The sequence below is a fragment of the Homo sapiens genome, chromosome 7 (genome assembly GCF_000001405.40).
Source record: "Homo sapiens chromosome 7, GRCh38.p14 Primary Assembly".
Classification (NCBI taxonomy): domain Eukaryota; kingdom Metazoa; phylum Chordata; class Mammalia; order Primates; family Hominidae; genus Homo; species Homo sapiens.
Genome location: NC_000007.14, coordinates 116,898,537 through 116,922,253, shown reverse-complemented (window position 1 = coordinate 116,922,253; position 23,717 = coordinate 116,898,537). Strand labels below are relative to the sequence as shown.

At 36.1% G+C, this 23,717-nt stretch overlaps 1 protein-coding gene and 1 pseudogene across 1 annotated transcript in view, besides 1 other annotated feature; both read right to left on the bottom strand.

Annotated features, from left to right (window-relative positions):
• Positions 1-204: 204 nt before the first annotated feature.
• Positions 205-23,717, bottom strand: part of CAPZA2 (capping actin protein of muscle Z-line subunit alpha 2) — a 59,463-nt gene continuing 35,950 nt past the window's right edge. Inside the window, exons 4-10 of the mRNA NM_006136.3 lie at positions 23,419-23,482; positions 17,871-18,077; positions 15,912-15,991; positions 11,943-12,021; positions 10,114-10,185; positions 6,132-6,194; positions 205-4,527 (exon numbers count right to left, since the gene is read on the bottom strand). Of these exons, the coding sequence (NP_006127.1) occupies positions 4,387-4,527; positions 6,132-6,194; positions 10,114-10,185; positions 11,943-12,021; positions 15,912-15,991; positions 17,871-18,077; positions 23,419-23,482 (706 nt within the window). The 3' untranslated portion in view covers positions 205-4,386. The remainder of the gene's footprint in view (positions 4,528-6,131; positions 6,195-10,113; positions 10,186-11,942; positions 12,022-15,911; positions 15,992-17,870; positions 18,078-23,418; positions 23,483-23,717) is intronic.
• Positions 3,310-4,024: a silencer, noted in NCBI's record as "conserved region 9 (CR9) negative regulatory element (NRE) in the greater CFTR locus". NCBI's record gives its function as "modestly represses an SV40 promoter coupled to the HS2 beta-globin enhancer in both orientations, and also a gamma-globin promoter coupled to the HS2 enhancer in the forward orientation, in transfected K562 cells {active_cell/tissue: K562}" and the evidence as "EXISTENCE:reporter gene assay evidence [ECO:0000049][PMID:18436892]".
• LOC124901857 (uncharacterized) lies at positions 18,811-18,936 on the bottom strand (annotated as a pseudogene).

Below are 23,717 nucleotides of genomic sequence, written 5' to 3'. Positions count from 1 at the left end.
GGCAAAGGCGCAAACTGATCATCAGTATGGAAGATCTTTTGAAAGGGTCTTTCATTATTCCAAAGGTTTCAGTGTGGCTACTAAAAGTCACAATGACTTTAACTGTAGAAAGGGCTACCCAAATGTCACACAACTGTCAATAGTTGTCCCTGATTACTTTTCCAAGAATTTCACATTTCAAGAACATTTGCAATGAACGAGAACTTCCAGGACATCTTTTTTTTAATGCTCTTACTACTATTTTAGTTTCCAAAATCCCAAATGAGGAAAAGCCGCATGAATATCTGCATATTTATATAACTTATTAAAATGTAATCATATATCCAAGTGTACTCTGGAAAAGCACCACTCATGCCAGAACTCTTACTTCTATCAGAATTCTTGATTTTAATGTCACAGAGGTGACCTTTCCAATGCTGAGTGGCACAGTTGCTTAAGTCCTCTCCTCTCTCCCCTCAGCCAGTCACTCCGTTGGTCATATTTGTCATTACTAGTAACTCCTCAAAACCTCAATTTTAATTAAGCACACCATTCTCCAATCACCACTTCTTACATTTCCTTTTTCTTTTTTTGAGACAGACTCTCACCCTGTCACCCAGGCTGCAGTGAAGTGGCACAGTCTCCGCTCGTTGTAACTGTCACTTCCTGGGTTCAAAGATTCTCCTGCCTCAGCCTCCTGAGTAGCTGGGACTACAGGCATGTGCCACCATGCCCGGCTAATATTTGTATTTTTAATACAGAAGGGGTTTCATCATATTAGCCAGACTGGTCTTGAACTCCTGACCTTAAATGATCCACTTGCCGTGGCCTCCCAAAGTGCTGGGATTATAGGCGTGAGCCATCGTGGCCAGCCCACCACTTTTTTTTTTTTTTGGGACAGAGTCTCGCTCTGTCGCCAGCCTGGAGTGCAGTGGCACAATCTCGGCTCACTGCAACCTTCGCATCCTGGGTTCAAGCGATTCTCCTGCCTCAGCCTCCCTAGTAGCTGGGACTACAGGCACACCACCACGCCCAGCTAATTTTTGTATTTTTAGTAGAGATGGGGTTGCACCATATTGGCCAGGATGGTCTTGATCTCTGGACCTCATGATCCACCCACCTCAGCCTCCTAAAGTGCTGGGATTACAGGCATGAGCCACTGCGCCCGGCCCACTTCTTACATTTCCAGGTCATTCTTTCTAGTTCCCCTACTTTAACACACCTATAATCCACTGGTTGTACATTTTCACTATCCCTCCCCCCGTCTCAAGCCCTCACTTCCCTGCTTACCCAGCTGAAATTCCACAGACCATCATCATACCCTGCCCCTCTTCATGTGGTCATTCACTCTGGGCAAAACCACAGCCCTGGTGAAATTTATTTCATCTACTCTATGCCTGCACCCAAACAGCTTTACACGGTTGAAGAAAAACATACAGCCATGCTCATCATTGGTCTCATTTACTTTAAATTCATTATCACTAACCTTGAGGTCCTTCATCCTGTCTGCCTATAAAATTGTTTCCAGGTTCATGCACTTTCCCATTCTTCTAGCCCAGAGCTTTCCTCTAGTTCCTGTCTCCTGTATCTAACTGCTACATGAGATATTTCTCCTTTGAATAGAAAACTGAGCTCCTGACCAGCCTTCTTCTCCAAACCAACTTGCTCCTACAAGAATCTTCCTCAATTTCTCCAGCCCCAGACATGGTTCTCTTTATCTCACACTCCATGACCAAACTCTCCCCAGGTCTTGCTGATTTTACCTTTAGGATATACCTAGACCTCACTGCTTTATACCACCTCTACAGCAACCACCTCAGTCCAAGCCAGCATGCTCTCTCAACTAGATTACTGCAGTAGTCTCCTAGCTGTTCTCCCTGATTATGCCTTTGCCACCACACTTCAGCCTACTCAGCAAAGCAGCCATAATGTCTCCTACTAAAATTACATCCCTGAGCTATAGGATACTCTGGGTTTCCATTCTTCTTTCACTTTAATAAATGCCATTCTTTTATTATTATTATTATTTTGAGACAGAGGCTCCCTGTGTCACCCAGGCTGGAGTACAGTGGCTCGATCTCTGCTCACTGCAACCTCCACCTCCCGGGTTCAAATGATTCTCCTGTCTCAGCCTCCTGAGTAGTTGGGATTACAGGCGCGCATCACCATCCCCGGCTAATTTTTTTTTGTTTTTAGTAGAGACGGGGTTTCAGCATGTTGGTCAGGCTGGTCTCGAACTCCTGACCTCGTGATCCACCCGCCTCGGCCTCCCAAAGTGCTGGGATTACAGGTGTGAGCCACTGTGCCCTGCCTAATAAATGCCATTCTTATACTATAAAAGACTATTCTGTGCCATCATTATTTCAGACTGTTCTAAATTATATTATTATTATTATTATTATTATTTTTTGAGACAGAGTCTTGCTCTGTCACCCAGGCTGGAGTGCAGTGGCGCGATCTCGGCTCACTGCGAGCTCCGCCTCCCGGGTTCACGCCATTCTCCTGCCTCAGCCTCCCGAGTAGCTGGGACTACAAGCGCCTGTCACCACACCCGGCTAATTTTTTGTATTTTTAGTAGAGACAGGGTTTCACTGTGTTAGTCAGGGTGGTCTCAATCTCCTGACCCCGTGATCCACCCGCCTCGGCCTCCCAAAGTGCTGGGATTACAGATGTGAGCCACCGCGCCCAGCCTGTTCTAAATTATTTTTGATAAATCTTCCGTCTCACAAGCAAATCACCTTAAAAACAGTTGCATACATTTTCAGTAATGCATTCCAGACTAGAACAGAGATAGGAAATTGATGACTTTCATGGGATAGAAACTCATGATGGCCTAACTGATACAACTAAGCTTGTCAATTAGATCTAGTATTTAGTTCACCATCATCAAACTTTCAAATATATATATTTTAAAAAGGAACAGATAATTAATGTTACCAATTCATTTTCTTTAGGAATCCCAATGTGCCAAAACTTGTATTTTAAAACTAAAGAAAAGATGATTTAGACAAAATGTCATAATTTCATATTATATTCTCAATGCTTTCAAAGCCCAACAGTGATTTTAAAAAGAAATTAAACAACATGCTTTCATTGAATTTTTAAAAATCTATACAATTCAAGCTAATGAAATATTTTATTGTACATAATAAAAGTGGTGTTTTTCTAAAAAAAAAAACAATAAAATAAAATAAAAAAAAAATTTCCAGGCCCAGACGTCTGTGGGAGTACGTGAGGAAAGGATTCCACTCAAGTATAATCAGCAATACTCTATTGAATGAAACCATAACTCCACTTCACTCCCTATGGTAAATACTAACATTCACCACAGGCTTGAAATTCCTGTAGCATCAGTAGAACTATTTTTGAAAATATTACAAACATGCTTATGATGCATAGGAGGATGAAAAAATTTAGACTGTAACCGCACACCATATGTAATCCCAGCTTTTCTAATTTACAACCAGTTAAGAATTACAATATCCAAAGAAAGTATTTTAAAATATATATGCTCACTGGTAAGTGATTTTCTACTCAAATAAATAGGAAAATTTGCATTTTAATGTCACATTGAATTTCAGTACTTTTCAATCCAAGAAAAAAAAAATAAACCGAGACATGGTCATGAGTTCAGGATTATATATATTACAATTTGCCTTGTTATAATACATTTGTGGCTTTATGATAAAAATAACTCAGGGACATATGGAATTCAAGCTGATTTGCGTAACTGTCACAAGAAAAAAAGCATTAAATGCATTTCTGAAATAAGTATTTTCATTAATTTCAGAATCTCAAAACAGCATTAGACCTTGCCTTGTTTAAAAAAAATTTAGTTCAACACTAAGCTAGCTAAATAACCTTCTTGAAAGGTTTAAACACAATTGATATAGAAAATGCTTTCCCTCTAATCTCAACTTTACATAAATGGAACAGGTGAGGAAGAAAAGGTAGACAATTTCTTTAGCAGCATATATGGCTAAATCCATCAACCACCTTAAACTAGAATGTCCATTATTGACCCCATTAAAAAGAACTGGGGAAATATCAAAAATTACTGATTTCATAAACCAAAAGACATCAATTTTAGGGTTACAGTTAGTAAAATATTTTTGAGACACTTCAAAAACTTTTAACCATAAACTAGAAGAATCATCTCTTCATTGTAAGAAAGAAAGGCCTAACAGAAAGACATTTAAACTAAACTGATTTTCAATCCTCTTAGAACAAACAAAATGAAAAATAATGGTTGATTAGCTAAGCTTTGTGCTCTAATCAAACTAATTAATTACAGTGATTTTAAATGGCAACAGCCCATCTGACTGGGCAGCTTGACAGTTCAGAATACTTTTGCAATGATTTTTTAACGCAAAGACACTAAAATGATCCGGTCATGCAATGTTCATCTTATGCATTCTGCATCTCTTTGCCAATCTTGTAGCTAAGGATCTTGTTCCAATCAATCTTAGTGCGTGTAACTGGCAACTGTCGACGTAAGGCTTTGAAAGTAGTGTCCGACATTGTCTGATAATTCTCACTGATGGCAGTCTATGAAAAACAATAGTTAGAAGTTTAAAGTAAAGCAAAGAACAGAACAATTTATAAAGCACATAGATGTTTTCAGAATAAGTTTTATTTAAGCAGCCTGTTTCACTGTTTTTAAACAGTCAAATAAAATCCCAACATTGTTTTAAAAGCTGTTTAACAGCAGCTAGAAGAGCCGGGCGCGGTGGCTCACGCCTGTAATCCCAGCACTTTGGGAGGCTGAGGTGGGCGGATCACGAGGTCAGGAGATCGAGACCATCCTGGCTAACACAGTGAAACCCTGTCTCTACCAAAAATACAAAAAAAAATTAGTCGGGCATGGTGGCGGGCGTCTGTAGTCCCGGCTACTCGGGAAGCTGAGGTGGGAGAATGGCGTGAACCTGGAAGGCGGAGCTTGCAGTGAGGCGAGATCGCGCCACTGCACTCCAGCCTGGGCCACAGAGCAAGACTCTGTCTTCAAAAATAAATAAATAAATAAATAAAATAAAAGCAGCTAGAAGAAAAAGCCTATAATAATTTTGAATAAACTTAATGAAATAAAACTATAAATTAGACTTAATATTTGTGTGTCATTTTGAATTTATTTTAGTATGTCAGAACAATTTATAGATTATTATTTTTAAGGAGTAGAAACTTGTCCAATTCACAAATTAAATGGTTCAATTCAAGAGTGTAGTTTAGAAGCTGATAAATAATATAAAAAGTAAAGCACAAAATGAAATGTGATCTAAACAGATTACACATAATCCAAATGCTAAGACACAGCCTGAATTAAAATTTCCAACCAGAAAAAAAATAGCCACTTAAAGTCTGGCATATTTTGACTGATACAGGTTGAGCATCCCTAACTGAAAAATCCAGTTTCCAAAGCTTGAAACATTTTGAGCATCAACATGACACTCAAAGGCAATGCTCACTGAAGCACTAATGCAGATTTCTAATTTTCAGATTATGGAAGCTTGACTGGTAAATAGATAATGCAAATATTCCAAAATCCAAAAAAATCTGAAATCTAAAACACTTCTGGTTCCAAGCAACTCAGATCAGAGATACTCAATCTGCACTCAGAAATTATGTTGGCCAAAACCTAGTCTTTTTTTTTTTTGAGACGGAGTCTCGCTCTGTCACCAGGCTGGAGTGCAGTGGCGTGATCTCAGCTCACTGCAACCTCTGCCTCTCAGGTTCAAGCGATTGTCCTGCCTCAGCCTCCCGAGTAGCACTCGTCACTACAGGCACATGCCACCACACACAGCTAATTTTTGTATTTTTAGTAGAGACAGGGTTTCACCATGTTGGCCAGGATGGTCTTGATCTCTTGACCTCGTGATCCACCTGCCTCGGCTTCCCAGTGTTGGGATTACAGGCGTGAGCCTCCGCGCTCGGCCTAGTCTTAGTATTTTGAAAACACAAACTATTAATGGAATTCAATTTACTTGCCACTCTTTTTGCCTACACATTAGTAAGTCTGCCTTTGTGTTAAAAGCAGACACACAACAAAAAGACTCTAACTGATGCAATGGAAAAATTCAGCCTTTGGCTGAAATTAAAATTTCAGTGACATTAATTCATATGTGAGTGTAGCTTATATAATATTTAAAAAATCATACCTGGTATTCATTTTCTGCAGCTTCTACAATCTTTATAAATTCTTTTGCTGTTTGCACTTCATTCTGAAAAAAAAAAAAACAAAATAAAAATAGTAATTTAAAACTAAACCACTATTATTTTAAAATATATGTATGGTTAATGTAATGTTATAATAAATAACACAGAAGGAAATTATGACATAGAATAAATATTGTAAGATCAATTATTCTAAGTCTAAGGGGAAAATAGGTAAAATTATTTTAAAAGTCTACAGAATAAGCTGGTCTCAATGTTCAGCTGGCTAAGGAAAGTGAAATCTCAATGATACACACATGGATGAAAAGTTCAATTTTAAACACTGGACATGCATTCCAATAGACAACCTTTATGGGTAAGAAGTTTGGTAAAGATTTCTAATTGATGACTCTTTATCTGAATATTGTTAAATATTTACTGAACATTACGTAACAGAACAGTGATACCAAAAAAAAAAAAAAAATCACTAATCAGGAAGAATGTATTTTTCTGGAAATTTTTTTTTTAACATGCCAATAGATGGGTTTGTTTGCTTTTTCCTAACAGTAAAGTTAACAGAATCTGGATTTAAAAAATAAAACAGTGTTAATGTAAAAGTCTCTAACACCTTATACTTTATATATATGGTGTAAAAATATAAAACAATGAAAACCTCCTAAGATAGAGTAAAAATGGTCATTCCTAAAAAAACGAGCACAAACTGGCATATTAGTCAAGTTTAATTACTATGACCATCTCTCAAAACCGTACCCTCTGTACTCTTGTGGACAAATTTCTCTTAGGAAGCATCTGTTTTTTTTTTTTGAGACAGGGTCTCAGCCTGTAGCACAGGCTGGAGTGCAGCAGTGTGATCTTGGCTCACTGTAATCTCCGCCTCCCAGGTTCAAGCAATTTTCATGCCTCAGCCACCCAAATAGCTGGAACTATAGGAATGTGCCACCATTCCCGTCTCATTTTTGTATTTTTAGTGGAGATGGGGTTTTGTATTTTTAGTAGAGACGAGGTTTCGTCATATTGGCCAGGCTGGTCTCGCACTCCTGACCTCAAGTGATCCACCTACCTCAGCTTCCCGAAATGATAGGATTACAGACGTGAGCCACCGCACCCATCCAGGAAGCATCTTCGCTCAATGTCAAACTCCCCAAACAAGACGGCACCATACCCTTGTTATGTCAATAATATTGAATGTAGTAATTACATATGATATGTAACTATATGGAGAACATCTCATGGAAAATCAGACATTAGTAAGTTTTTTTCACTGGCAAATTTTGCAAGGAGAGTACCAATTAGGTCAAAGCAGAAATCACCTAAGTGCTAGTAAAAATTTTTTTAAAAGATAGCTTCAGGGGCTGGGTGTGGTGGCCCATGCCTGTAATCCCAGCACTCTGGGAGGCCAAGGCAGAAAGGTTGGTTGTGGCCAGGGTTTGAGACCAGCCTGGACAATATGGTGAGACCCCATCTCTACAAAAAATAAATTAGCTGGGCATGGTGGCACACGCCTATAGTCCCAGCTACTAGAGAGGCTGAGGCAGGAGGATGGCTTGAGCCCAGGATGTCGAGGCTGCAGTGAGCTGTATTCACACACTGCACTGTAACCTGGGCAACAGAGTGACACCCTGTCTCAAAAAAATACGTGTGTGTGTGTGTGTGTGTGTGTGTGTGTGTGTGTGTATGTATGTATATGTAAATATAGCTTATCTTCTTAGGTAGCATCTGTCTTAACACATTCATACATGTTTCTTAAATGCTTTCTTGAGTTAAAAATAAATTTTTCTGGCCGGGCGCAGTGGCTCACGCCTGTAATCCCAGCACTTTGGGAGGCCGAGGTGGGTGGATCACGAGGTCAGGAGATCGAGACCATCCTGGCTAACACGGTGAAACCCCGTCTCTACTAAAAATACAAAAAAAATTAGCCGGGTGTGGTAGTGGGCACCTGTAGTCCCAGCTACTCGGGAGGCTGAGGCAGGAGAATGGCGTGAACCCAGGAGGCGGAGCTTGCAGTGAGCCAAGACAGCGCCACTGCAGTCCAGCCTGGGCGAAAGAGCGAGACTCCGTCTCAAAAAAAAAAAAAAAAAAAATTTTCTTTAATATCTGTAAATTGTATATAAGCAGTTGATGTTTATAATACACAGATACTTTTAGGTATATGACACAAACAAATGAGAAAATGTCACTGTTAAATGTTATACTGTCAATATCCATGGGGCAAAAAAACCAAAAGCCAAACTTTTGGAGGCCAAGGTGGGTAAACTGCATGAGTCCAGGAGTTCAAGACTAGCTGGGCAACATGGTGAAACCCCATCTCTACCAAAAAAAAAAAAAAAAAAAAAAAAATTAGCTGGGTGTGGTGGCACGTGCCTGTAGTCCCAGCTACTCAGGAGGCTCAACTGGGAGAATGGCTAGAGCCCTAGAGGCAGAGGTTGCAGTGAGCTGAGATCATGCCAGCCTGGGTGACAGAGCCAGGTCTTGTCTCAAAAAAACAAAACCAACCAAACCAACAAAAATCAACAAGGAAACAGTTGCATATGCAAGGGAAAGAATGTGTGAAAGAATTCTGTGGAGAAATAAAACCAAGTTCAAAAATTCTTAAATTTGAAAGATGAACTTAAAAAAAAAACTTCATTAAATCATGATCCAAATAGCTACTGAAATGAAAAGATAGGATACAGTTTAAAAGTTAGGTAGAAGATCATAGACCTAAATGTAAGAGCTAAAACTATTATATAATACTTTTAGAAGAAAACACTGGAGTAGATCTCCACGACCTTGGGTAGACAATGGTTTCTATTAATATTTCAAATCTCAAATGACAAAAGAAAAAAATCAAAACCAAAATCTTCTGTTTTGCAAACAATATCATCAAGAAAGTGAAAAGACAACACAGAGAAGGATGAAAATATCTGAAATCATGTATGTGATACACTGGACTTGTATCCAGAATATATGAACAAGTACAACTCAGTAATACAAATGTGAATAATCAATTAGGAAATGAGCAAAGGATCTGAATAGGTATTTCCCCCCAAAAGATATACAAATGATCATAAGCACAAGAAAAGATGCTCAAAATCATTAGCATCAAGAAAATGTAAATAAAAACCACAATAAGACACTACTTCATACTGACTAGGATGGCTATCATCAAAAGGACACATTTTGGAAAAAGATACAGAAAAACTGAAACTCTTATACACTGCTGGTGAAACTATAAGATGGAAAACAGTCTGGCAGTTCTTCAAAAGGTTAAACATAGTTACCAAATGACCCAGCAATTCCACTCCTATGTATATACCAAAAATAAATTTAAAAAGCTACACAAAAAATAGTACACAAATGTTCACAGCAGCAAAAAGTAGAACACAGAAATGTCCATTAACTGAAGAATGGATAAAATGTGGTATGTCCATAAAACAGAGTATTATTTGGCAATAAAAAGGAACAACGTACTAATACATGCTCCAAAAAGGATGAATGTTGAACATGTTAAATGAAAAAAGCCAGTCAGAAAAGACTATATATTATGATTACATTTATATCAAATGTCCAGCACAAGCAAATCCACAGAGCCAGAAAGTAGATTAGCCACTGCCTAGGGCTGGGAGGGTTCTGGGGGAAGGGCTGGGTAGAATGGAGAATGATTGCTAATGGTACAGTGTTTCTTTTAAGGAGCATGAAAATGTTCTAAAATTAGATTGTGGTGACTGCTGTCCAACCCTGTTAGTAATATACAAAAAAAAAAGAGAAAAATTTGAAGCTTATATTTTAAATGAATGAACTGAATGGTATACAAATTATATCTCAAAGCTGCAAAAAAGTTAGGTACAGGTTTGCAATTACTTATCTTTAATCTATCAGAAAACACGGTAATCTGAAGCAGAAATATTACTTAAAATGTTCATTCCAAAACTGTTCTGGTTTTACAGAAGTATTAGGTTAAATTTTATTGTGGAATTAATTACTTACAGACACTGTTAGGGAATCTTGTATATCTTTATGACTCACTAGCTGAACATTACCATCTTCATAATAATGAACCTATTAGAAAAAGAAATTACAGAAACCACATTACAGGAATCATCAAGAACCTTATTGCGTCAACAAGCATATCAATGCAGACTGACTACATATTTCAGCTCTAGTCTAGACTTCTCTGCTGAGCCCCAAAACTTTTGAACTCCAGCAAGACTCTTCCTGCCCTCAGCCTAGTGAGGAGACTAGTTAGAGATATTCCTGTAGTTATTCAGGCAAGCCTTCTATTGACCTGACTGCTGGACATTTTTGCCTCACAGTCATTCATTCTACTGGTATCTAAAACCAAGATGTCCAAATCTGAGCTCACAATATTCCTTCCCAATCCTGTTCTTCTTTTGTGTATTTCCACCAACCATTTAATTCCCCAAACTCAGACATGAATTTACTCAACAAACACTGAATGAGTGCTGTAAACACTGCTGCTACATAAGGTACTGAGGTTATATGGCTTTTAAAAAGACACAGTCCCTGATCTCGTATTTCAGCACAACATGGTAAAGGTATGTATAAAGTATGTTAGCAGTACTCTAGATTCTTTCTGAGGGTTAAAAAAGGCTTCAGTATATTTCAGAGAGGACTAGAGGTATGTGAAGTTGGGGAGAGTAATAGCTGTAGAAATATATACAGGTAGCAAACCAGTCAACTCTGGGCCTTGTATGTCATGCAAATATGTCTGGACTATCTGGCAGATGAGAGTGTACTACTAAATGGTCTTACATAGTCAAGTAACATATCCACATTTAAATTTAAAAAACTATCTTTTTGATGGCAGTGTGAATGTCAAAGAGTCCACCAATTCAACAAAATAACAATCATATGGTACTATGCTAAATGCTGAAGACTGTACTGTGAATCAGACAATCCTTGCTCTCAATAAGCTTTGGTCCTACAAGGGGCACCATTTTAAAACTGCTGTAATTATCCAGGTAAGCGCCACTGAGGCCTAAGTGAAGGAAGAATAATGCTGACAATAATGACTACCATTCATCGAGTACTTGGTGTCTGTCTGTCCTAACCCTTTTAGCCATATTAACTAAATCTTCAAACAATCACGTATGCTTTTTTTTTTTTTTTTTTTTTTGAGACGGAGTCTTGTTCTGTCGCCCAGGCTGGAGTGCAGTGGCGCAATCTCGGCTCACTGCAACCTCTGCCTCCCGGGTTCAAGCGATTCTCCTGCCTCAGCCTCCTGAGTAGCTGGGACTACAGGCACGTGTAATTTTTTGTATTTTTAGTAGAGATGGGGTTTCACTGTGTTAGCCAGGATGGTCTTGATCTCCTGACCTTGTGATCCACCCACCTCGGCCTCCCAAAGTGTTGGGATAACAGGCGTGAGCCACCGCGCCCAGCCAATACATACACGTTAATACATGCATACAATATATTTATACAACTACACACATGCATATATTAATATGATACTTCACCCCACTCCACCCAATTCAGAGGAGAGAAGTACACAACTCAAACTCAGAAGACGCCTGCATGAACAAATTGTATCTGAAGAGCAGACCAAATGGCAGCATCTAATTTTAGCTGTGTTTTATAATCTGTCAGCTATCCTTGCAGATTTTTGATGACTAGGGAATAAACTGCCAGGTTATTTAAAAGATTTAAAACAGCACTATTGTTTTTCCCATTACCCCAAAACAAAGACCTGAAAAAGAAATGTGTATGATATACTATGAAAATGTAAACTTAGGAATTAGTTGTTTCTCTGTTCAGAATCATCTAAAGATCAGTAAACAAATTATTTTTCATACCTGAATTTTCAAGATGCCAACCACTTGAGTGGTTGAAGGAGTGATTGTAAACTTCCATTCTGACCTCCAACGACCATTCCTTAAAAATAAAAACAGCAGCTGTAAATAAGGTAGGGAAAATAATTTGAATCAATTTTAAGTTTCAGATTATATTTCATGCTACAGTATGAGAGAGTGTGGGGGATGAATACTGGACATTAAATTTTTAATCACTGAAATAGTCAAAAATAATCAAAAGGTTAAGTCCAGTTATGATACATATTTAATTTTCACCCTACTGATAAGAAAGAACTTACATAATGGATTTAATGCCAGAATTCTAAAGCTAAGGCTTAAAATACAATTCAGGCTGGTGTGTGTGCAGTGCTGTTTGCCACTAATTGATCACAATCAGTTACAGGTTTCTTTGTTCCATCTCCACTTGACTAGCCTTAAAAAAAACAAAACAAAACAAAAACCAATACAAAACTAAGTCATAAGCTACTGTGGAGATAAATTTTAAGCTACTTCTTCAATCAAATCACTTATATTTCCAAAATAAATGGAATAAATGTTTAGATTAACAGGGGCTTTTATGAATACACTCAGTGTAGTTTAACATCTACTGAATGATACAAAGTACCATACAATTTAAAAAGAATGACTAGTAAATGTTATACAACACTCTTAAAGAGGTTTTGATATCTGGAAATAAAGGACTATACTTATTAACATGAGTTTTTTTTTTTTTAGTTTTCCAATTTTATGTTTAAAGTCTCCACATAAAAGGCATATCCTCCTTCTCTGCTCCTGAAATGATTTTTGGTATACAAATACATATTCATGGTTTGAAACTGAGAAATTACAAACTGGTATGTTACTACTTTTTGTCTACCAGTGAATTTTATCTTATTTTTCTTTTTTGACAAAATTCTGGATGAGTAGTTTAGCGTCTGATATTCTATTTTTCTGACAAACTTTTCAGGGTAACTTTTCTTTTTGTCTCTGTTTGCTCTCTGCACGCTAAGGACATTCTAATATGTTAGCTTTTTTGAACATTATATAATAGTCACAGGGTAATTAATCACTATACTGGCTTTTGCTAGACAATGATTTCTGGGTTCAATACTCATGTAGTCTACCCAATCATAAAGTCTATAGAATGATAGTACAAGTTGAGTCTTCCTAATTCAAAAATCTGAAATACCTCAAAATCTGCAACTTTTTGAGCACTGACATGATGCTCAAAGGAAACGATTATTGGAGCATTCTGAATTTTGAATTTTTGAATTAGGGATGTTAAACTGGTAAGTATGATGTAAATATTTAAAAATTTGAAATCCAAAAGACTTCTGGTCCCAAGCATTTTGGATAAGAGATATTCAACCTGTATTCTCATACTTACAGTTACACTGAATATTTGAAAATTATTATTAGAACAATGTATATGTTCTACAAAATAACAGATAATTTTATAACATGTCTTGATTTGAGTGACTCATCCAAGATTTTTCAAAGAAGGTTGGTTGGAAAAATAACTTGGAGGTTTATTCACTTTTGTTTCATGATTCCAAAAGAAGTATTCCTTTTATTGAGGTATTAGTGCCAAGCCAGCTAGTGAGTCCTTAGCATATATAAAATACTGACTAGGACAATATACATTTATATAACCATTGATTATGAAAAGAAAAAAAAATAATTCCAAACCAAGTAGTGGTACCAATTTGAGAACTATTTCAAAAGATTCTTCCAAAGGCATTAATTACTACAGTAACAGTAAATGACACTGAGTAGATAGTACTCTTTTATTAGTAGAGTAAATGGCCAATATGTCCTAGCCTTTAATTATATTCTGCCCCTCTCGTTTATTAACTCTGTAATTACAAATATGTATTCACTCAACAAACATTTATATTAAGCCCCTAATACTGCTAGATCCTGGAGAAATGGTAGAGACAAAGAAGAGAAGGTCTCTACTGAAATCTAAGAAACATCTAAGACTAGTTGCTTCTGATTTTTACTCTACCTATATTTTAGATGAACTGAAGTATATTTCTTTTTTTTTTCTTCTAGAGATAGGGTCTTGCTTTGTCACCCAGACTGAAGTGCAGTGGCGTGATTATAGCTCACTGCAGGCTTGAACTCTTGGGCTCAAGAGATCCTCTTGCCTCAGCCTCCCAAGTAGCTAGGACTATAGGCACGCACCACCATGCCTGGCTAATTTTTTTTTTTTTTTCCTAGAGATGGGGTCGTACTATGTTGCCCAGGTTTCTTGAACTCCTGGCCTCTGGCCATCCTCCTACCTTGGTCTCCAAAAGTGCTGGGATTACAGATGCCTGGCTTGAAGTATAGTTCTTTGTATTAACTACTTAGATTTTACTGAGACTATTGTGCCATGATATTATCACTATGGAAAAATCATATCAAAGCATATAAAATACATTTTTTTCCAGAAAGTGAAAGCCATTAAGTTAAGTGATACAATGCTCATAGTGATGGCTTAGGAAAAATTACCCTTGTAAAGTGAAATAGTGAGAATAGAAAATTCAATGACAAGTTGGGCACCATGTGAACCTGTAGTTCCAGCTACTTGGGAACCGGAGGCAGGAGGATCACTTGAGCCCTGGAATTTGAGACCGGCCTGGGCAACACAGCAAGACTCTGTCTCTAAACAGAAAATAAAACTCAAGGACAGACATTTTCTTCATTTTATATATGTTAAAGCTCAAAGGAATTAGATTTTAAAAAGACAAATTAGTAAGCTTATTGTAACAGCTCCAATGTATTATAAAGAAGAACGTAGTAAAAAGAATTTTCTTCTAATAGTAGCTCCATCTCAACAAGATTGATTTTATTATGTGTTTCCTGGCATAAATAACATAAATTAGTAATAATTTTATAAATATTGTTTCAGGATTCTAGATTAATGCTACAAGATTTTAGACCCAACACAGAGAAACTACACTTATATTAAGTCCATAAAAGTAACTCTATATGACAGAACCTTTAGGGAACTGTGGCTAGTCATTAAGGCATACATTCACATATGGCATTGATTTTCCTTCAGTGATGATGGATCTGCATTCCTCCAAATATTCTTGGTTAACCTTGCAACCCTGCATTTATTTCTGAGATGGCTAAGCAGTGGAGCAACCTTGGGCCATGAACCCAACTGGCCCACAGGGGTTACCTGTTACTTTACCCTTAATAGCACCACCAACCAACTTGGCTAGTAAGTCAAAGGCTAATATACTAAAAGGTAAATATTATGACCATACTTATTCTGGTGACCTCAGCATGTAAAACAGGGATAAACGTAAAGATTTCATTCAATTATGGACTTGTAAAGTCTTAAAGAACCTCAGAATTTTGTAACAGGTACTCAGAAATAGTCTTGTCTAAGAATAAAAATGACCAACAACTTGTCAAAGGTCCAAGACCAGTATGGTAAATCAGTGCTCCTGAGGGCTTGAAGTTTATAAGGAATAATGGAATTATTTGTACACAAAATTACAAGGCATGAATGTAATCTTCCTCATTGTATAAAACATGTCATTATTTCCTCACATTGGCTAACCAAGTACAAAGCAATCCTCTACTTCAGAGTCACAAAGTTCACAAAAGTAGTATCATTTTTTGTTCTATAATTATCTTTGTTCTCCTGCACATAAGTTTCATTCAGGAACAGCCCCTTCACAGAATGAGCATATGGATTGCCAACTGGTGTTCTCGCAGGCACACATGCTCCCTCAGGATGCTGTTTGCTAGTCCCATACTCTTTCCACTGAATGTCAACAGATTTACCACTACCTTTAGTGATTAGGCTGTTGAGCAAATTTACCTTCCTTATATCAAAAGGCTAAAATTTTATACCATCTCTAAATTGTTCTTAATCATAAACAAACAAGGTGTAGCCCAAATCACTAAAGCAAGAACTACAAAGACTTAAAACAATGCCAAAACTCCCCAATATCCAAAATTTTAACTTACCAAAAATTTTTTGCTTGGAACTGATGGCTTTCTATGCATGCAATAATGGTTTGCTGTCCATCTATTTTTTTGCCATACACCTTATTGGCAAAGAAAATAAGCATAAGAATGAATTTAGGGCCATGGAATGTCCAACTTTAAAAATCTATAAAATACTGCAAATTGTACAGTACTTTGACAAGAACACATAAAATACAAAGTAGGCCATCATTCCAATATAGTAGCTAGAAAAACATGTTCTCAAATATTTATGCGTAATCAAATTATTAGTGGACCACAAAAGGGGACACTAAATAAAATACAATTCATTAAAATTAATTGTACTCTGAAATATTCACGAACATTCTAGATAATCTACTTTCATAAGTAGATAATTTATTTTAAACATACAGATGCTAATCTAGCTTTTTCCATGCAAGTGAAAACTGGACCTAGCTTGTGATTATCACCTTTGTTCACTTCACAATCTTAGGGGCTGCTGTTTCTTTAGTCACTTAAAAGTACTGGAATAAATTAACTTACTTATAAGTGAGAAAGGTCGTTAAGAGAATGCCTGTGATGTATCACAATGCTATTTCACCTCTTGCCTACTGCTTTAAAAATAATAATTAATTTGTGCCTTTCAATCCTCTAGAATAAATGAGGACTCTCTAACAAGTACTCCCTTAACTCTCGTTATTCCTCCAAAATAATCCTGATGAACAAGTTATAATTCAAGTAATACATAAGATATTTGAGGTTATGTTGCAATATTTCTCAAATAATCAGAGAGCTAGATACTTAAGCAGACCATATGAATTTTTGTCCTAACCAGGAAACTTCCAAGAAAGAAATGGGGTACGCTACTGGTGATATTAATAATTACATTGAGAAAGCAGGTATAAACTAGGATATATGGTAGAGTTAGGTTGGAGGGGTAAGCAGAGGCCACGTGGTCACAGGGCCTTTAAGCCACCTTCAAAAGCCTGGACTCTTAAGTCCAGGCAACGGGAAATCTCTGAAGGATTTCAAGCAGGGAATTTTAATGACCTGATTTGCATTTCAAAAGATCACTCTGGCAATGGAAAAGGCCACTGAAGCACAAACTGGGGGTGCTAAAAAAGCCTGTCAGGGTACAAATAATATTATGAAATTTTTAAAAAAGAAATGTATTCCTACTACCATATTTTGTATTTCTTTTTTTTCTTTTCTTTTTTTTTTTTTTGAGACAGAGTCTCACTCTGTTGACTGGGCTGGAGTGGAGTGGCGCAATCTCGGCTCACTGCAACCTCTGCCTCCTGGGTTCAAGCAATTCTGCCTCAGCCTCCCGAGTAGCTGGGACTACAGGCACGTGCTACCACGCCCGGCTAATTGTTTTTTTTTTTTTTTTTTTTAAGTAGAGACAGGGTTTCACCATGCTGGCCAGGCAGGTCTCGAACTCCTGATCTCAGGTGATCCACCTGCCTCGGCCTCCCAAAGTGCTGGGATTACAGGCGTGAGCCACTGTGCCCAGCCATATATTTCTTGAAAATATAAAAATAGGTTGAACCTACGAAAGAACCACACAAAAAACACAAGAAATGTAACTGTAAAATACAGAAACACATAATTTTACTTCCAAGTAATTTTATTTGTTCTAAGATTTCTGTGACTTAATAAAAATAACTTTGATCTAAACTGAGACGAGTCATGAACATAAGATTACAGAATCTCACCATATCCTGCTCCTTTAATCAATGTATTAGAATTTCTACATGGATTTAAATCAAGGTACAACCATTTCTCTATTTTAAGCCATCCTAGTATATCTATTTATTATCCAGAATTTCTTGAAAAAATAGTAAACATTCTTAGAAATATTTAAGGAAAAAAATGACAAATTATACAATGTCAATTCTGTAAGTTACTGTAAATTTTAAGAGACGCTAAAGACTCACATTTACACAAAACACACACACAAAGCTGCTACTGATGACTTACAGTGCAGACTCCATTCGGGTAATGTTCTTTTACGTAAGCTCTCAGAGCAGTTTCTACTGAAGTTCTCCATGATTCAACTGCATTTTCTACTTCACAGGGTCTTGGATCAGTTGCCTCCTTCCTTAAGTGATCAAATTTAAAACAGATTCTGTTCTTTGGATCCAAAAACTTTCCATTTCCCAAGTCGCCATGTTCTGTTATCAATACCTTTGATGATGGAATGAATTTAGAAAAAAAATAAAAAAACAGCATTTCAATATTGATACATCATAATTACACTCATTTAAGCTTCTTCCTTAAAACTATAAAACAATCCTACTCCAAGCATATATTTTAACCATATGGTACAACTATTAATACTTCAAATGAGTTGACTATACAGACAATGACATTACTCTCATCCAGTGCAGATCAGATTTTCTCCCAATATAACTTCCAGCTACTGGTGAAAAAAAATGCAACCTCTAAAAACACTGTTCAAGTGGGTTTGGTGGGTTTTCTGCTTTGAGAACTCTAACAGTTTACAATGTCTGGTATCAGACTCCAGTTCCTCAAAACTACAGAACTTGTGAGAACCTCCAATCAGGGTGGTTACCTGAATGGCTTTGGTCTGGTGCAAATCCTCTTTGGTGTGTCCCCCACCTTGCCTCTGGGCCCACAGTCTTACCTACTTTGACGTATCTGTTTCTTGCTTCTTAAAAACTACATTGACAACTGATTTTAATTGACTTCCAAGTATTTAAAAACATACTTCATTTCCATAAATTTAAATAATACATCCACAATGCATAATGTATAATCTGATATTTTGTGCTTTATTTAAAAAATTTCCCCTTTTCCTTCTCTTGTAATTCTTCCAGTCTTTGACTCCTTAGCTATGTCGGGACTTATCCATCCCTCTGATATATATCATGCTAACAACACAGGATATACCTTTCTAAATTTTTTTTCATAGTCATAAAATCTTACAGATAAAGATATACACATGTCTATACTTGCATACACACAGAATTTTTTGGTCATTATTTTACTACACTTGATCTTAGCCAAAAGGCCGAGAAGCGACTGGTCATTATTTTATAAGAATGCAATGAAAATGTGTGTGTGTACGTACACACACACACACACACACACACACACACACACACACTCTTCTCTGCATCTGGCTTCTTTCAATATAAACATCCTATGGAAATCCCTCAAAGTCAAGTGATATATTTCTCACCATTCTTTTAAATGGCTGCATAATGTCCCATGACGTGATTATAACATAATTTAGTCTGCCAATCCACTACTGATGTGCCATCTCTTTATTTCTGGGCTGTTTCCTTTTTCGGGGAAAGGAGGAACACATTAAAAATGGTGAAATAAGACTGGGTGTGGTAGCTCATGCCTGTAATCCTAGTGCTTTGGGAGGCCAAGGGGGCAGGATAGCTTCAGCTCAGGAGGTTGAGACCAGCCCGGGCAACATAGTAAGACCTCATCTCTACAAAAAAATTTTTTAAAATTAGTCAGTCGTGGTGGCATGTGCCTGTAGTCCCAGCTACTCAGCCCAGGAGATTGAGGCTGCAGCGAGCTGTGATTGTGTCACTGCACTCCAGCCTGGGTGACAGAGCAGGACCCTGACTCAATAACAACAACAAAAAAGGTGAAATGAGTATTGCTGTACATATATTTTAACATACTGATGTTTTTATTTCCATTGGATCCTTTTATTTCTATTGAATAAATTCCCAAGCAGTGGTGGTAGGGACATCAGGTATTATAATTTTTAATATATACTCCTGTGACAATCCAAATTTCTACACATATATGAGAGTATGTTTCCATCCATATTACCACCAATGATAGGCACTATAGCTCTTTTTTTAGTCTGATGGTAGAAAATATATCATTTTAATTCCACTGACTACTGATAAAACTAAGTATGGCTTTTCACATTTGTGGGTCATTTGCTCTTCTGTGAGCAAATATAATAAAATATTTTTATCTGGTGTCTTTTTCTTATCAATTTATAAGAGTTCTTTAAGATAGGCTTCATTCTACAGTTAAAAACATTTATAGTAAAATGTCCATCTTTTATACTTCCTGGGTATCCAGTGTTATTTAAGATGGTCTCCCTAGCCCTGTATTGCACATGTAGACTCAGATTTTCTTCTAAAATGTTAGCCACTTTTCACATTTTAAAACCACCTGAAATCTATTTCTGTATACTGTATGTGACAGAGGTCCAACTTAATTTTCTTCTTATAGAAACCAGTTATGCCAATATCTGTATAAAATTTTTCATATATTCTGAGACTAAATTCTGGTTCTCCATGCTGCTCTAATGATTTTTTGTCTACTCCATACACCACCACATTGACTTAACATTGGCTGTAAAACAACTTGTACTATCTGGTAAGGCAATTCTCCCTCATTGTGCTTAATGGTTTTTTCATAAATATATACATATATATATATACACACATACACACACACACACACACACACACACACACATTTCTTCGTTATTTCAAGCATGTTTTTTTTTCCACATAAACTTTATGAAAATATTGACCAATTAAAAAAAAACTGATCAGGATTCTAATTCAAATTTCATCAAATCCATACATTACTTTTAAAATAATTTAATTTTCTATCTAAGAATGGAATGTAGAGCACCTTTCCATTGGTCAGATCCTGTTTTATGTGTTTCAAGAAGAGTATCACTATTTTCTTTCTTAACAGTTCAGGGGTACATGTGCAGGTTTATTATATAGGTAAACTTGTGTCATGCAGGTGTTGCACAGATTATTTCATCACCCAGGTATTAAGCCTAGTACCCATTAGTTATTTTTCCTGATCCTCTCCCTCCTCCCACCCTTCATCCTCTGATAGGTCCCAGTGTGTTTTGTTCCCCTCTATGTGTCATGTGTTCTCATCATTATCTCCCACTAATAAGTGAGAACATGTGATATTTGATTTTCTGCTAAGATATTTTATTAGTCTGCTAAGAATAATGGCCTTCAGCTCCATCCATGTTCTTGCAAAGGACATAAAGCTTGTTCTTTTTCACGGCTGCATAGTATTCTATGGTGTATATATGCCACATTTTCTTCACCTAGTCTATCATCACTGATATTTAGATTGATTCCACGTCTTTGCTATTGTGAATAGTGCTGTAATGAACATATGTGAGCATGTTTCTTTATAATAGAATGATTTCTGTTCCTTTGGGTATATAACCAGTAATGGGATTGCTGGGTCAAATGGTAATTCCGTTTTTAGATCTCTGAGGAATCGCCACACTGTCTTCTATAATAGTTGAATATACACTCCCACCAACAGTGTATAAGCATTCCTTTTGCTCCGTAACCTCACCAGCATCTGTTATTTTTTGACTTTCTAATAATAGCCATTCTGATTGGTTTGAAATGGTATCTCATTGTGGTTCTGATTTGCATTTTTCTAATTATCAGTGATGGTGATCTTTTTTCTCATATGCTTGTTTGGCCTCAAGTATGTCTGCTTTGGAAAAGTGTCTGTTCATATCCTTTGCCCACTTTTTAATGCGCTTGTTTTTATCTTTTAAATTTAAGTTCTTTATAGATGCTGGATTTAAACCTTTGTCAGAGGCATAATTTGCAAAATTTGTCTCCCATTCTGTAGGTTGTCTGTTTACTCTGTTGATAGTATCCTTTGCTGTGCAGAAGCTCTTTAATTATATCCCATGTGTCAGTTTTTGCTTTTGTTGCTTGAGAAGACCGTCACTATTTTCTTCATAATCGTATGCCTTTTTTTGATGAAGCTTATTCCTAATCTGTAACTTTTACCATCATTTTAAATTGAATTCCCTGGCCCACTCTGACCCCCACCATTTCTAGTTTCAGGTCCTTACTTGCTGTAATAAAGGACAACTCATGAGTTTTGTATCCTTACCTTAAATTCAGACATCTCCCCAAATTCTTTTATTAATTCTAATAGCTTTTTTTTTTTTGGTTGGGAGTTATATTATTAGAATCTCTTGGTATTCCTAAATATATAAATCATGTCACAAATAAGTTTTCTTTTCCAAATTTTACAAGTTCTCATGTTTTTGTCTTATTTGCTACATCTCCATTTATGATAAATGATAATGCTGATAAGCAGGCATACCTAGCTAATTTTACATTTTAACTAAAATTATTTTAATGTTTTAGTTTATGACATTTACTATTAATTTTTGTTAAAGTGTTTCATATTTAAGAGGTTTTCTTCGATTCTCTATTTTACTAGAATTTTTATTTTTAATGAGAAAATGGCTACTGAATTTCTCAAATCTCTTTTTACTGTCTATTGATACATCATAAGATTTTTCTCTTTATTAATATGTAAGACCAATATGTCTTACATGGAACCATTTTTGCATTTCTGTAAAAATTCTGTTTAGTTTTGGTATATTATTCTTTGGATATATCTCTAAATCCTATTTGTTAGTATCTTACTTAAAGTTTTAAAATCTATAGTCCATGTGAAGTTAGTATACTGTTTACCTTTTTTGTTTTATCTTTTTAGTTTTAAATATTTAATATTAAAATTACACTAGGTTCATAAAGTGACTTTGGAGGCTATCTAACATTTTTAAAAGACACAGCAAATTTTCTTATAGCAATTTATCCCAAAAAAATTGTTAATATAAGAGGTACAAAGATGTTTAATATGGCATTATTTATAGTAGTAAAGAAAAAGCAAAAAAAAAAAACCCAAATCTTCCCAGAGATAAAATAAATTTTGCAGATTAATACAATGACACTCTACATAGCTTTGTATATACACACACATATCTATAAATAAGCTTAAAATTTCCCTTCAGTTACAAGTCACCTTCTAGCCTAGTCTTTGCTTGTCCCCCGTAACTATGACTACATATTACGTAACGACTAATGCCAAATAAAAGCTTTGACATGATTAGCCACTAAGAACTTTCTCTTATGTTCTTTCTTAACCACTTTCGCTTATGTTCTACCTACCAGTTCTTCTTCATAGTGTTTTACATAAGCTGTCCTTCATGCAAGCATGAAATGCATTCATATAATCACTATTTATTAGAAACTCTAAATAAAAAAAAAATGCTAGTGACCTTTTGTGGCTTTTCTTAGCTTAGCAAATCTAACTTGTAGTTTGGAAAGAAGAGATTTAATAATCACTAAATGCTAAATTACTCACATGAAGAACTACAGAATTCCAGAGCAACCAAATTATGATATAAATCTACTACACATATATTCTAGACTTTGGATTAATATGGGATTGATTTTTTTCCCAGAAAAAAATAAGAAAGTAGATTTACAGTAATCATTTACTAAAATCTTAAATGAACTACATCTGAGTATTTCTAAAAGGGACTTTCTGCTAATAGTATTACTGGTATCACCAAAAGAAAGTAAAACTTCAATTACTTTGCCCATAAGTGGTTATGATTAAAATATGAATAATTTTTTATCTTGCAGCATACCACTTCACAGCTCTTGCAGGATACCTTAACGGTTATAAACAAAACAAAGAATAGTGTTTATATGAAACATACCTGATCTTCATAACCTTCAATTTTTACTGGAGTAAACTGGTCCAAGTTATACTGTGCAAATGCACTAAAAAAAAGAAAATGGCAATTACTTAAAATTATATATTTAATGTTTTTTAAAAACAATGGTCAAAAAATTCACCCATCAATAAAGTCTCCTCCTACATTGCACACTGCAAAATAAATAAAATTGTAATTCTCCATTACTGAACTTATACTAACTACAAATAATGACATGCCTATTTTAAAAACTGAACAATGATGTCCAGCTTTCAATGTTTAGCAAAATAAAATTAAATCAG